The sequence below is a fragment of the Homo sapiens genome, chromosome 10 (assembly GCF_000001405.40).
Source record: "Homo sapiens chromosome 10, GRCh38.p14 Primary Assembly".
NCBI lineage: Eukaryota > Metazoa > Chordata > Mammalia > Primates > Hominidae > Homo > Homo sapiens.
In genome coordinates, this window is record NC_000010.11 from 22,942,657 (window position 1) to 22,958,900 (window position 16,244).

Sequence of the window (16,244 nt, forward strand, 5' to 3'; positions counted from 1 at the left end):
ACCACTTTGGAAAACTGTTCGACAGTACCTACAAAAGGGAAATATATGTCTACCCCATGACTCATCAATGCCATTCCTAGATAAATACCCAAGAGAAATGTATGTATCCACAAAAAGACATGTAAAAGAATATTCATTGTGACCTATGATTTCCTTAAACTGGAAAGAAAAGAACCCAAACTGGTATATTTATATACTGGAATACATTATATAGCCATAAGAAATATGACTTAGCTATATAAGCAAAAATGTGAAAGAACTGCAACAGGTATTGCACTGAGCTAAAGAAACCAAATATGAAAGAGTGAATGTTGTATGATTCCTTATATGAAGTTCAAAAATGGAAAATTAAGTGATTATTTTAAAAGTCAGAATAATGGTTATCTCTCATGGGGGCAGGGTGGCTTAGGAAAGGAGTGTGAGGAAACCTTCAAAGATACTAGAAATGTTCTATACCTTAGTTGGAGAGCTCTGAATTAATATTCTGGAAGATCAAGTGGAAGAAATACCTAATAACACAAACAGAGTCAATTTTGCTTTTTAATCCAATCTAACAGCCTTAGTTGGATTTATTTACCCTAGTGATGTTTATTTTGATCATTGACTTATTTGATTTTATTCCTATCATTTTATTTGAAGTTGTGGTTTTTCTTTGCTATGTTTTCATCTTGTAATTTCTTTTGTATTTTCTGTCCCTTTTCTGAGTTGAGCAATTTTCCTTTGTTTTCCCTTCTTTCTGGCAGTGTGGAACTTTGGTTACTTATTGGTAGCGTATCTATTAAATACACATTTTAACCTGCATTTTTTTCTATTAATTTACATTAATATGTAAAAATAAATAATAGCTGGGCAACATTCCTCTTTTTTTAAAACCAAAAATTTTCTTTACCTGTTTTGTTGAAAAAAAAAATCTGTTTTAATTCCAAGCCATTATTAGTTTTTTTTCCCTTATAAATCATCATCACTTCAGGAATCCTTTCTTAAGAATTGCATTGGCCAGGTGAGTTGGCTCATGCCTGTAATCCCAGCACTTTGGGAGGCTGAGGCAGGTGGATTCCCTGAGGTCAGGAGTTGAAGACCAGCCTGGACAAAATGGCAAAACCCCATCTCTACTAAAAATACAAAAATTAGCCAGGCATGGTGGTGGGCACCTGTAATCCCAGCTACTCAGGAGGCTGAGGCAGAGAGAATAGCTTGAACCCAGGAGGTGGAGGTTGCAGTGAGCCAAGATCGCGCCATTGCACTCCAGCCTGGGCGACAGAGTGAGACTCCATCTCAAAAAAAAAAAAAAAATTGTATTATGATTCACATCATCTGCAGCATTTAGTAAGCTAAACAGCAAAATACATTTTACTGTATTTTTTGATCCACCACAGTTGTTTTTATATTTTGGTCCTCCCAAGTTGTGGCTGGAGGTTTTGCCTGAGCAATTTGTTTAAGAGTGTATGGTTGATATACTTTTTGAGTTTGTGAACGCCTGAACATCTGAATGACAACCTAGCCAGACATAAAATTCCAGAGTCACAATCCTTTTCCCTTGGACCTTTGTTGATTATCTTCAATAAGCAGTCAGGAGAAGGAAAGGTATAGGTCATTTGCTGAGGTCTTTCTTCTTATTATTCAATATTATTTCTGCTTCCTGTTGTATATTTTCTATTTGGTCAAGCTAATATTTTATCCACCATAAACAAATACTCCCATTTTAAACCATCTTGTGTTATTTTCCCCATTTGCATATCCTCCCTTCTCATTGCCATCCATCCCATTTTATCTGTTCTTCAAATCATATCTGAAGTTCTACCACATCCATGGAGCTTTCTCTATTTACCCCAGTTTCAAATTAATTTCCCCACTCTCATCATAGTATTTATTGTTTCTGCCATATGTTTTGCACTTCATAAAATCCTAGAATTTTATATCTGGAAGAGATCATACTCCAGCTTCCTAACTTTTCAGATTAAAAAAAACCATGGTCAGTGAGCCACATGTGTCACTTGGGTGATGTGAGGTCCTCGGGCATTCTGGGGCTACCCTTTAATACCTAAAGAGGATGGTTCTCAAGCCCCAAACCCTAACTACATTCAGAAGTCCTCCCTTAAGATTTCTGTGGATTTCCAGGGCCTTCTGCTCTCATGATTAGTGTTGCAGCCAGCATCCCAGCCATTCCTCTTTGCTCAGCTAGAGGCCACCTTTTCTCATTGGATCATGTCTAGAATCACAAGTGCCACCAACCTGTTGTACACAACTGATTTTTTACTGAAGATTTGTCTTCTCTAAAAGGGTCTACGAGCTTTAAGAACAAACAAGACTTTTGTAACTTTTATAGCTTCTAGTATAGTGGGAGCCATAGAAAAACAGCAGCTTTACTTTGGGTGCTAGACAATGCCGTTCTAAAATTCAGCAGCCATTTCTCCTCCAAAAGGGAAATTTTATCCTGGCTGTGTCCTTTCAGGTCATTGTTTCTTGCTATCTTCTTTCTTCTTTACTCTTCCAAACTCACACAATCATGTTTCCTTGGAGTAATCAGAGTAATATATTTCTCCATTCTCTACCTAAAATGAAACAATCTTAAAAATATTCCATGACATAGTAAGATGTCTATATAGGAATGCCAACACAAAGAACCAGCTAAAGCTTTGAAATACAGTTTTTTTCCTTTATCCCAAGCAGAACTCCATCCTTCATTAGTCTCTGGAAATGGAAGAAAAATAGTGTAATAATTTGTTTTCTCCTTGACCACAGAAAGCCTCTATGTGCTATGAACAATAGTTCGTTTCAATTATGCATTTCAATAACACATGAATTCTCAGGAAACAGGTCTTCTTAGAGTCCTATACTTTTCTTTAGACTATATTATCATTTCCCCTGTTCCAGGTTTTATTCAATTTTACATTTTGTTATATGCTCTTTTCTACTGCTTTTTTTATTGTTTTACATATGTACTTCCTGCTTTTCTAGAGTCTAGTGGTTGGAAAGCAAGTATTGATTATTGAGATGGTCATGGAATAAAATATATACAGGTATTCAAGGATTGTGTATATTGAGTAAGCATTTATATCATTTGATAAACATCTGTCATGTGCCAGATGACGTGCTAAGTGCTTTACATACATGACCTCTACTCCTTTCCTTGTTTCTTTGAGATAGTACCTTTGAGATAGGTACTATTATCCTCATCAAACAGAAAAAGAAATTGACATTCTAGTAGCATAATTCATTTGATTCCACATGGCTAAATTGAGAAACTAGACCTGTCAGATTCCAAAACATTTGGCTCTTCCCACCATACCCCAGGCATTCCAATGCTGACAATTGTTTCTCTAGCGGTTGATGTATTTTTAATGAAAAACTTTGCAGTGCACTTATTGGGCAGTGACCACATCCTTTTTGCAAGATTACATTTTCTTTAAGTTTTAAGACCCATTCATTTTTAATGTGATTTTTAAAGCTCATATGTGAAACTGATAGTTTTCTTTCTGCCTTTCAGTTTGACCCATTAATGATTGAAAGCAAAAAAGCAGCAACTGTGGTGTTAATGCTTAATTCTCCAGAAGAGGAAATTTTGGCTAAAGCATGTGAAGCCATTTATAAATTTGCTTTAAAAGGTTTGGATTTTTTTCAGTTTATCTTTCTGTTTCATTAATTTCTTAAAATATTTACTACCTCTTGGGCACTTTTCTTCCTAGTCTTTAACTTACTTGCTGTCGGATGAATTATTTCAGACAACCAGGATATTATTTAATGCATTACCTAAGAGCAATCTCTCTTCCTGAGTTCCTAGCTTAATCTTAAGGAGTAATTTAGTCACTGGGTAGAACAGTCATTCTGAAAGTTTCATTGTAGTTTTAGAAATTGTAAATGTCACAGAAGCTAAAAGAACTCCCAATAGTCAAGGCTGGAACAATTAGAACAACAAAGTAAAGCAGTATTGGCTTATCATCCAAGTGGAAAATAAGTATCCATGAGTCCATACTGATATAAATAAAATGGGTGAATAAATGGAAGAGAAGAGACAAATCTCCTATGCAGAAGAATTCCTAATAGTTTATGTAGACACTCTTGACTTCAAGGAGGTGAAATGTAACTTCCGACTCTTTGAGTGGGAGAGGTACAGAGTGACTTATTTCCAAAGAGTACAATGTAGAAATGGGGAAAATAAGCTTACAATGGATAAACCTGACAAACACTACCGCAGCTAGGTGATCAAAATCAACACCACACATCTGGGCATGGTGGCTAATGCCTGTAATCTCAGCACTTCGGGAGGCCAAGGTGGGTGGATCACTTGAGCCCAGGAGTTTGAGACCAGCCTTGGCAATGTGGCAAAGCCCCATCTCTATATATAAAAATATATATATACAAAAACTAGCCATGTGTAGTGGTGCATGCTTTTAGTCCCAGCTACTCGGGAGGCTGAGGTGGGAGGATCACTTGAGCCCAGGAGTTCAAGACCAGCCTTGGCAACATGGCAAAACCCCACCCCTACAAAAAATAGAAACATTAGCCAGGTATGATGGCACATGTCTGTAGTCCCAGCTATTTGGGAGGCTGAGGTGGGAGGACTGCTTGACCCTGGGAGGCAGAGGTTGCAGTGAGCTGAGACTGTGCCACTGCACTCCAGCCTGGGCAGCAGAGAGAGACCCTGTCTCAAAAAACAAACCAACCAACCAAAAAAAAAAAACAGAAAACAAACCACCAACTGTGATAAGTCCTATCAATATTAGGTGCTCTTGATATGATGTGATGAAAATGACACTTTATTTCTGTGTTATTTTTCTTAAAAATCTATAACCCCAGTTTAATAATGATTTTTAAAATCAGACAAATCCCGGTTCAGGTACAAAATACCTAGCCAATGCTCCTCAAAACTGTCATGGCTATCTACAACAAGCAAGTTTGAGAAATTCACATAATGGAGGCATAATGAGTAATGACATAGGATCCTGGGACAGAAAGAAGATATTAGGTTAAAACTAAGGAAATCCGAATAACTAAGTACTTTTGTTAATAACAGTGTCTTCATATTAGTTCATTAACTGTAAAAAATGTACCATACTAATATCAAATGTTAATAATAGGGGAAACTGGGTCTGAGGTATGTGCAAAGTCTTTGTACTGTCTTTGTAACTTTTCTGTAAAACTAACATTGTTGTAAAACATAAAACATTTAAAAATTATAAATATTACACATCAGGTTCTACTGAAAGGTTTATTCATAGAGGATTTAAAAACATACAAGATGCCTATATTTTAGTCTTCATATTATTACAAATGATTAGACTTTTATTATGTTGCATGACATTTTAATTGAGAATATTAATTTAATTGAGAGTTTAGTGTAACTAAACTGGTTTTTTTTAATAAACCATTTCAAACTAAGATAGGGACAATTTTGTTTTAAATAAATGATACTTGACATATTGTGTTGGAAACTGAATGAGAGAACAACAAATCATTCAATTAGCAAAGGGTATAATACTCACCTTGCTTTGTCACTCAGGTCATCATTGGGAATCCAGATGTAAACCAGAGTGTTTCTGGAAGTTACTATATCTTTTTGAGTGGATGGTGTAGAATCCTGGGTCAAATTTCAGGGAGATATTGGATTGTGCATCTATGGCAGCATGAATCCCATTCAGTCTTACGGAGTCATTATACATCATCTGGCTGTCACGTGTATCTAATTATGTGTTATCTCTTTTTGCATGACATGAAGAAATAGGCATGTATTTCATATGAAATCAATACAGAAATAATTTTAAGTCTGATGTTTTATACTAGTAGTATTTTCTAAAATTAAAAAAAAAATGATAGGACTTTGGTTTCTGGCCATGACGGACCACTCTACTGCCTGTAACAATGAATGAAACAGACCCAATATGTGAAAGTAGAGTAGACTTACTCTATTGGTGGAAACAATGAAGAAAATAAACGAGATATATGAAATAACAGTTGACAAGACCATCAACATCAGACAATAAAGGGCAGTGACCACTGAGAGACGGGAAACAAGGGAAGTAAACCCTATGATTGCCTCAGATTTTTGACTTTAGAGAGCTTTTTGGCCATAGCACTGGAAAAGGTAACCTGGTGGATTCTCTGAGTTAAGAAGACAAACCTGAAAGTCCAGAGAAATAAAGGTATTCAGAGTTTTCAGGACAGAGCAAAGGAGAGGAATGAGTTTCACAGAAGGAGAACTCAGGAGCTCTGTAAAGGGTCTCATTCTTGTATTTAGAAGAGTAGTGAACAGCATGTACATGTGAGGGTAATAGTTGGAACAAGAGGCACCCAAAGGATTGGGGTAACAGTGCCTGGTGCTCACATACGGCTAGGAGTAATGCCTGTTTCCATCAGCCAGGCAGAAACTTCAGAATTCATGGAGCATTGTGTAGAATACACAGAGGAGTCTTGCCTCAGTATGAGAAATAATTAGTCCTAGATTGTGCACTGTTCTAGTACCACCTAGTAAATATTAAAAGCAAGACTTGAAAGGATCAAGTTGTTTCCAAGTAACTTAATTTGTCCCTGAAAAAAATCTTAAGAATACAGAAATATCCATTGCCCAAGAAGGTAAAATTCACAATATCTTGCATCCAATAAAAAAATTACCAGGCATGAAAAAAAGCAGAAAAAACGCATAATAAGATATATATCAATGAGTAAATCAAATTGACCTAGATGTTAGAATTAGCAGGAAAAGACATTAAAAGATTAATTACAACTGTATTCTATATGTTTAGAAAGTGAAAACATGGAAGCTATAAGACAGATCCAAATACAACTTCTAGAGATGAAAACTTCAATGTCTGAAATGAAAAACACATAGGCTTTGATTAATGCAGTTTGGACATTGCAGAAGAAAAGATTAATGAACTTAAATACATAGTAACACAACCTGTCCAAAATGAAGGACAGTGAAAAGAGATTTTAAAAAGATGAACAGAGATTCAATGAGGTATGAGAAAAATTCAAGTGTCCAATATATGTGTAATTGGAGTCTCTGAAAAAGGGAGACAGGGACAGAAAAAGCGTTTGAAGAAATAATGGCCAAACTTTCCCTAAATCTGATGAAAACTCTAAGTCCATGGATCCAAAAAAGTTTGTCAAAACCCAAGTGCAAAGAATATGAAATAAACCATGCCATAGTACATTATAATCAAATTGCTTAAAATCAGTGATAAAGAGAAAATCTTAAAAGAAGCCAGAATCAGTAAAAACATGTTACATTCAAATAAAGATAAGGATGACAGTAGATAATAACAAATTATAAATAAGGATGATTTATCATCAGAAGTTATGCAAGTGAGAAGTCTGTAGAGCAACAATCTTAAAAGAATAAAAGAAAAATAAAAACTTTCAACACAGAATTACATATCCAGAAAAAAGGTCTTTCAAAAACGTAGGTGAAATAATGTTTTTTTTCCAAATATAAAAAGCTAAAATAATTTATTTCCAGCAGATCTACACTATTACTTATAATAAAAAGAGGCCTTTTAGGCAGAAGGAAACTAACACTAGATGGAAACATGGATCTACAAAAAAGAATACAGAGTGCTAGAAATGGCAACATATATGTTTTGTTATTTGAATCACTTCAAAAGCAAATTTATTAAACAAAAATAATCATATATTGTGCAACTTGAAACATATGTATAAATAAAATATATGGCAACAACAGCCCCAACATAGAAAGGGAAAAAATGGAAGTATACTATTGTTAGGATCTCATATGTGAAGTGGCATAATACCACTTCAAAGTAGACTGTGTTAAGTTAAAGATGTATACTGCAACCCTAATGCAACCACTAAAATAACAAAATAAAGGATAATATTAAATAAGCCAATGAAAGAAATAAAATGGAATCAGTAATATTCACAGAATACATAGAAAAGAAGGCTGAATATGAAGAAAAAAGAAAACATGGAATAATGGGGCATGTAAAAAACGAGATGGTGGATTTAAATCTAACCATATCAAAAATCAAATTAAATATAAATGTCCTAAATACCTTGATTATCAGGGAGAAATTGGTATATTGGATAAAAAGCAAGAGTAAACCACATGCCACCTTCAAGAAGTGCATTTAGAATAGAAAGACAAAAATAACGCAAAAGGATGACAACAGATATGTCATGCTAGCATGAATCAAAAGAAAGCCCAAGCATTAGTAACAGAAATATTAATATTATAAAAGTAAACAGAGAAAAGAGTAGTACCAGAGATAAAGAAGGTCATTTTATAATGATAAAGGGATCAGTTAATCAAAAGACTGTGAAAAATCTTTTTTTTTTTTTTTTTGAGACAGAGTCTTGCTCTGTCACCCAGGCTGGAGTGCAGTGGCGCAATCTCGGCTCACTGCAAGCTCCGCCTCCCGGCTTCACGCCATTCTCCTGCCTCAGCCTCCCAAGTAGCTGGGACTACAGGCGCCCGCCACTACACCCAGCTAATTGTTTGTATTTTTAGTAGAGACAGGGTTTCACTGTGTTAGCCAGGATGGTCTCAATCTCCTGACCTCGTGATCCACCTGTCTCGGCCTCCCAAAGTGCTGGGATTACAGGCATGAGCCAGTGCGCCTGGCCGAAAAATCTTAAACAGTTATGTACCAAATATGAGATCTTCAAAATACACGAAGCTAATAATGCAAGGAGAAATAGATATCCACAATTAAAGCTGGAGATTTAAATACTCCTCTCAATAAATAAAAGAACAAGTGACAGAAAATATAAAAGGATATAAAGGATTTGACAATATCAATGAATTTAACCTAATTAATATTTATAGAACACTTTAAGAGCAGTAGAGTATACATTTTTTTTTCAAGTGGATACAGAACATTTATCCAAATAGATCATATTCTAGGCCATAAAATAAGCCTCAATAAATTTTAAGTGATTCCAATAACACAAAATGTATTTTCATACCACCATGGAATTAAATTAGAAATCAATAACGCAGAAAACTCTGGGTAATTGTTAAGTAGTTAGAAAATAAATAACATACTTTTAAATGACTCATGAATCAAAGAAGAAATCAAAACAAAAATCAGAATTGAAAATTAAAACACAGCAAAAGTGCCACTCAAAGTATTTAGAGAGAAGTTTATTGCACTAAATGCCTATACTGGAAAACAAGGAAAGTCTCAAACCAGTAATCTCAGCTTCTATCTTAAGAAACTAGAAAAAGAAGAACAAGGCTGGGCACAGTGGCTCACACCTGTAATCTCGGAACTTTGAGAGGCTGAGGTGGGCAGATCATGAGGTCAGGAGACTGAGACCATACTAGCCAACATGGTGAAACCCTGTCTCTACCAAAATACAGAAAATTAGGTGTGGTGGCATGCGTCTGTAGTCCCAGCTGCTTGGGAAGCTGAGGCAGGGGAATCTCTTGAACCAGGGAGGTGGAGGTTGCAGTGAACTGAGATCATGCCACTGCACTCCAGCCTGGCGACAGAGTGAGACTCCATCTCAAAACAAAAACAAAAAACAAACAAAAAACAAATTAAACCAAAAGTTAGTAATAATAAGGATATAATAGATATCTCAGTATAAATCAATGAAATAGAAAACAAAAAAATTGATGAGCCATAAAAATGAAAAGCTGCTTTTTGAGATCAATAAAAATGATAAACCTCGAGATGGATTGATAGACAAAATAAGAGAGAAGACAAATTATCCATATCAGGAGTGGGAGAAGGGACATCACTAGAGATCCTACAGATATTAACAGGATAAGAGGAATATTATGAATAAATTAATACCAATAAATTCTACAACTTAGATTAAGTGGACAATTTTATTTCAAGACATAAATTTCCAAGCTCACTAAAAAAAGACAGCTTGAATAGCTCTATATTACAAAAACTGAAATTTGTAGTTAAAAACTTTCTCACAAACAAAACTCCAGGTCCAGATGGTTTTACTGGTGAATTCTACCAAACCTTTAAGGAAGAAATAATACCAATTACACACAAATACTTTCAGAAAATTGAAAAGGATGGCATACTTCCCTATTCATTCTGTGAAGCCACCACTACTGTATAAAGGCCCAAACAGCAAAAGGCAAGAAAGAAAGAAATCTGCAAGTCAGTATGCCTTATTAACATAGATGTAAAAATTCTAAACAAAAGTTAGCAAATTAAATTCAACAATGTATAAAAAAAGCAAACACATCATGACTAAATGACTTATTCCCAGATTGCAAGGTTGATTTAATAACTGCAAATTAATCAAGGTATTTTACCGTGTGGGGTAGGTAGAAAAATAACCCCAAAATATCTACATCAGAATCCCTGGAAGCTATGAAAATAGTATGTTACATGACAAGGGATAAATAAGAATGCTGATAGAATTAAGGTTGCTAACCAACTGACTTTGAGATGAGGAGATTACCTTGGATTATCTAGGTTGGGCCAACACAATCACAAAGGCCCTTATTGGTGAAAAAAGAAGGCAAGAGAGTCAGAATTGGAGAAGACATGATGGTGGACACAGAGGTCAGAAGGGCGTGATTTCTGGCTTTGAAGACGAAAGGGGCTCACTAGCCAAGGAATGCTACCTGGAAAAGAAAAGGAAATGGATTCTGCCATTGGGTTTAGCTCCCAAGGAGCACAGATAGCCCTGCCAACATTTTGAATTTCACCTACTGAGATATATATCAGACTTCTGACTTCCAAACCATAAGATAATAAATTTGTGTTGTTAAACCACTAGATTTGTTATTACAGCAGCAATAAGAAAAAAATATATTTTTTTAAAAGAAAAAAGAAAAACCATATGATCATCTTAATACATGCAAAACAACCTTTTTGGCAAAATCTGACATCCACTCCTGATAAAATATGTCTGCAAAGTAGGAATAGATATAAACTTTCTCTCCCTAATAAAAGATATCTACAAAAAAAACCTATGGCTTACAACACACTTAATGGTAAAAAACTGAATGCTTTTCCCCTAAGATCAGGAGCAAGAGAAGGATGTCTGCTATCATCACCTTTATTCAACATTGTATGGGAGATTCTAGCCAATGCAATCAGGCAAGGAAAAGAAATAGAAGGCATCCAGAAAATTTGTAGTTAAAAACTTTCTCACAGATTAGAAAAAGGGATAGAACTATCTCTATTTGATTTATAGAAGATGACATAATCTGGCTCTGTTCACTCACCCTAATTATTTTGAGATTAATTCATATTGTAGCATTTCTTTTTATTGCTACCATTATATGGATTTACCACAGTTTGCCTGGGTCATATGGTAGGTGTACATCAACATTTTAAGAAACTGCCAAACCATTTTCCAAAGTGATTTGTACTGTTTTATATTCTCACCAGCAATTTATGAGGGTTCCAGTTTCTCTCTACACTAGCTGGCACTTGATGCTGTCCATCTTTTTGATTACAGCAATCCTTGTGGGTGTGAAGTGGTATCTCATTGCGGTTTTAATTTGCATTTCCCTAATGACTAATGATGGAGAGAAAAATGTACTTTATTGTCATTGTATATCCTCTTTGGTGATGTATCTGTTCAAATCATTTGTTCACATATATTTTAAAATTTGGTTGTTTTCTTATTCAGTTTTAGAAATTATATATTCTGGATATACATCCCTTACTTCTGTATCAGACATATATTTGCAGAATTTTTCTCACAATTTGTAGAATATCTTTTAAAAAAATTTTCTAGACTTTTTTTCTGTAAGCAATGTTATGTTTATAGAAAAATGAGGCCAGGCACAGTGTCTTGTGGAGCCTGTAATTCCAGCACTTTGGGAGGCTGAGGCAGGAGGATCACTTGAGCCCAGGAGTTTGAGACCAGCCTGGGAAACATAGTGAGACCCCATCTCTACAAAAAAATTCGAAAAAAAAAAAAATTAGCTAGGCATGTTGGTGGTTGCCTATAGTCCCAGCTACTCAGAAGACTGAGGTGAGAGAATCGCTTGAGCCGAGGAGGTCGAGACTGCAGAGAGCCATGATCACACCACTGCACCCCAGCCTGAGTGACAGAGCAAGACCCTGTCTCAAGAAAAAAAAAAAAAAGAAAAAAGAAAAGAAAAATGGGAAGTAGAGTTCCCATAAACACCCCTCCTCAATTTGTTTTCTCTATTATTACAGTTATCTTTTGCATTGTATTAGTCAGGATTCTCTAGAGAAAGAGAACCAATAGGACATATGTAGATATATATGAAAAGATTTGTAATGGGAATTGACTCACATGATTGTGGAGGCTGAGAAGTCCCACGACAATACCATGTGCAAGCTGGAGAATAAGGAGAGCCAGGGGTGTAATTCAGTCTGCGTCCTAAGGCCAGAGAACCAAAGCTGATGTAAAGTCCTAGAGTTCCAAGGCCTGAGAATAGGAGCTCTGATGTCCCAGGGCAAGAGAAGATGGAAGTCCCAGCTCAAAAAGAGAGAGGATTTTTCCTTTTTACACCCTCTGTTACTCAAGCCCTCAACAGATTGGATATTGCCCACTCACATTGGTGAGCTCACATCTTTACTCAGTTTAGAGATTCAAATGCTAATCTCTTCCAGGAACACCCTTGCAGACACACCCAGAAACGTTTTAGTAGCTATTTGTGCATCCCTTAGCTCAGTCGCTTTGGCACATAAAATTAATGTGATGACATCTATAGACAATTCTAACAAATCCACAAAAAAGGGCTAGAACTAATTAATTATGCAAGGAAGTATTTGTTGAGTGTCTGTTACATGACCGGCACTGTCCTAGGCACCCAAAGGTATGAGAAAATAGGGCAGAAAGGGCATCTGTCCTTATGGAGAGTTATCGTGGAGTAGGCAAGCAAAACACAGAGGTTGTTAAGTGATATGACAAAAATACAGCAGGATAAAGAGGGGTAAGACAGACTTGGATGTGGTGACAGAATTAGATAGGGTGATTGCGGGGGACTGCTCCAAGGAGGTGCAATGTGAGCTCAGAACTGAAGACAAGATGAAGCCAGCTTTGTAAACAGGGGAAGGGAGAGGAGGAAATGTCCGGGATGTGTGTCCTTGAAGTTTATTCTGAGGGAAATACGAACGGAAGCCAAGAGTAATGTGAAAGGCAAATGGCAAATAAGAAATTGGAATGGCACAAGGCAGAATGCTGATGAGATCGATAATATCCATGTGTGGTTTTGTTTTACGTGTGATGTCAGGTGAGGAAAATAAAACAACCCTCCTTGAACTTGGAGCTGTGGAACCTTTAACTAAGCTACTCACCCATGAAGACAAAATTGTAAGAAGAAATGCTACTATGATATTTGGAATCCTGGCTTCTAATAGTAAGTATCAACTTTTAAAAATAATCAAATAATCCCATGTTAATGCATTATCATTCTTTTAAATTTAACATTAAGGAATTTGTTTCAATTTTATTTAAACTGACTTTCATGTTCACAAAAACATTTTATCAGTATAATGCAGCAAATGTGTGATTTCACATTTTAAGGGATAATTTTAAAATAAGAAAACATGTGCAAGCACATCCATGCAAAAACTCCTCTCAGAATTGGTGATGTAGTCCTACAAGCTGAGAGAGCAATCATTTTCTCTTAAAATTATTTTTCTTGAGTTAGTGTAATGTAATTTGCCTGCCTATATGTATCTTACATTTCATGTATATTTCATAGTGAACAAAGCCTAAAGAGTTTTGATAAACTCTTTTTTTGAAACTGCAAACTATATTTTGCAAAAGATAAATTTAAATGTGCGTTTACCAAGGTAGGTGGATCACTTGAGGTCAGGAGTTCAAGACTAGCCTGGCCAAAATGGTGAAACCCCGTCTCTACTAAAAATACAAAAAGTAGCCAGGAATAGTGGCAGGTGCCTGTAATCCCACCTACTTGGGAGGCTGAGGCAGGAGAATCGCTTGAACTCGGGAGGTGGAGGTTGCAGTGAGCTGAGATTGCGCCACTGCACTCCAGCCTGGGTGACAGAGTGAGACTGTCTCAAAAGAATAAATTTTAGAAAGTGCACTTACTCCTTAAATCAGACCTATTACTTGCTTGGAATCATATATGTCATATTATTATATTAATATATAATATATATTGAATAATATTAATCATGTGTACATAATTAACATTAATATGTGATTAATATCAATATACAATTAATATCAATATATTAATATATTAGTATGATATATTAATATGTAATTATATATTATATATTAAATAACGTATTAGTATCATATAATATGATGGTATAATATTAGTTAAAAGATGCTATTATGTCCATTAGAATATCAGTTTGAACACCATGCCAATAAACGCAGTCTCTGACTTATGAACAGGATATATTTTCCTTGTCATTTTCTAATAGTAGTTTTTGAGTCAGCCACCAAAAACCCTGTAACTCATAATAAATTTTAAATGACACTCTTAGTGGAGACTGAATTCTAACATGAAACTTAGGCTGCTCTGACTAAACACATGCCTATCGTGGTACATGGCTAAAATCATTATACTTTCCCCGTCTTATGATAATCTCAGCAAAACACAAGCACGGATTCTTTCCTAGTCTTCCTGCCCATCCACCGCCCGCCATTTTCCCTGGACCCCGTGTGATGACAGTGAGGCCTCCTTATTCCTTGTCCAGCAGGGATTGTGGTATGAGTGTGTTCAGGGACAGTTATGAGTGGAAGTTGGGGAGAGACGTGGAAGGGCGGTTTTGTGTGGCGTCTGTGCCATTACAGCCTCAGCTACAGAGACTGCACTTGCGGGCAGCTGCAGTGCTGGAAGCAGATGGGGCCCTGTGCGAGGGGTCAGTGGAAGGCAGTGACTTTGAGAGCTCTGATGGTAGTTGTGCTGTAAGGCAGGGGCCTGGGAGTGTTTCCGGAGATGGCAACAGGATGAGGACAGTCATGGCGGAGTGCATGACCCACCAACTTAGACTATGGTAATACTAGTTAACACTTAACATACACTGACAAGGGGCCAGGCACTGTGCTAAGTGCTATTGATATATTAAATCATTTAATCCTATCTAACAGCCCTGTGAGGTAGGTACTATTATTATTCCCTTTACATCTGAGGTAACAGAGGCATACAGAAGTTAAATAAGGCAGTACTCAATTGAATTATGGGCCTTCCTAAATTTATCACAAGGATTATCTGTGTAACAATTCTATGTTAGTATCATAATGAATGTTTAACCAAAAACAAAAAAAGGAAAATTATAATCAAAAAAGGGAAGATTTTTTTATTTCTTATGTTTTATTCTACTTACATACCATTGAATTTGAGAAACAAAAATATTTTGTGGCCAGGCATGGTGGCTCACGCCTATAATCCCAGCACTTTGGGAGGCTGAGGTGGGAGGATTGCTTGAGCTCAGGAGATTGAGGCTGCAGTGAGCCATGACCACACCACTGCACCCCAGCCTGGGTGACAGAGCGAAACCCTGTCTCAAAACAAAAACACACACACAAACCTTTGTAATATGTCTTATGCAATTCTTTATTTTAAAAGTAGGATATATATCTCAAAGCATTAGTTTATTTGCCCCAAATCATGCAGGTGGTTAGTAGTGGAACTGAGGTTAGAGCCCTGCACACAGGCATACCTGTCTAACTTTAATTAGGCTGACAAAAATAGTATAAAAATGTACTTTAAAACAGTCAATATACTTATTTTTAAGCATTTTTGGCATTTCTAATAATCAAATTGAATGTAAGCAATCAAGATGTATTAATTAAAATAGGCTGGGTAATCTTACTTGCATTCTGTACAAGATTTATTAAAATCAGAATTTAAAAATACCTTCCCAGCAACACACACACAGATTACTATTACACAATAAATAAACGTAGGGCACAGTGACTCAACTCTTCTGATATGTGTTCTAGGCACACTTTGCACTTTTATGGTTGTTTCTAGTGTCTTAGAAGGAAGTACAGCTCATGATCGAGGAATATAGGCAGGCTAGAGAATGTGTGGGGTTGGCCCTACCTAGGCTTGAAACCTGCCCCACCACTTGCTTTGTGGTTTTGAGCCTCAATTTCCTTATCTGTAAAATGAGATAATAATATTACCTGTCTCATAAGGGACTGTTCAGTAGATACTACCATTATCATTATTATTATTTCGAGACAGGGTCTCACTCTGTTGCCCAGGCTAGAGTACAGTGGCGTGATCTCAGCTCACTGCAACCTCTGCCTCCCAGGTTCAAGCGATTCTCCTGCCTCAGCCTCCCAAGTAGCTGGGATTACAGATACAAGCCACCATACCTGGCTAATTTTTGTTATTT

General features: G+C 36.2%; 1 protein-coding gene across 10 annotated transcripts in view; it reads left to right on the forward strand.

Moving 5' to 3' along the window:
• ARMC3 (armadillo repeat containing 3) overlaps positions 1 to 16,244 on the forward strand; it is a 110,471-nt gene that overhangs the window by 14,604 nt on the left and 79,623 nt on the right. For 8 of the 10 annotated variants that reach the window (NM_173081.5, NM_001282745.2, XM_005252380.4 and 5 more), the window contains exons 3-4: positions 3,488 to 3,605; positions 13,151 to 13,276. In NM_173081.5, the coding sequence (NP_775104.2) occupies positions 3,488 to 3,605; positions 13,151 to 13,276 (244 nt within the window). The remainder of the gene's footprint in view (positions 1 to 3,487; positions 3,606 to 13,150; positions 13,277 to 16,244) is intronic. The other 2 variants (XM_005252381.3, NM_001282747.2) reach the window with 1 other exon arrangement.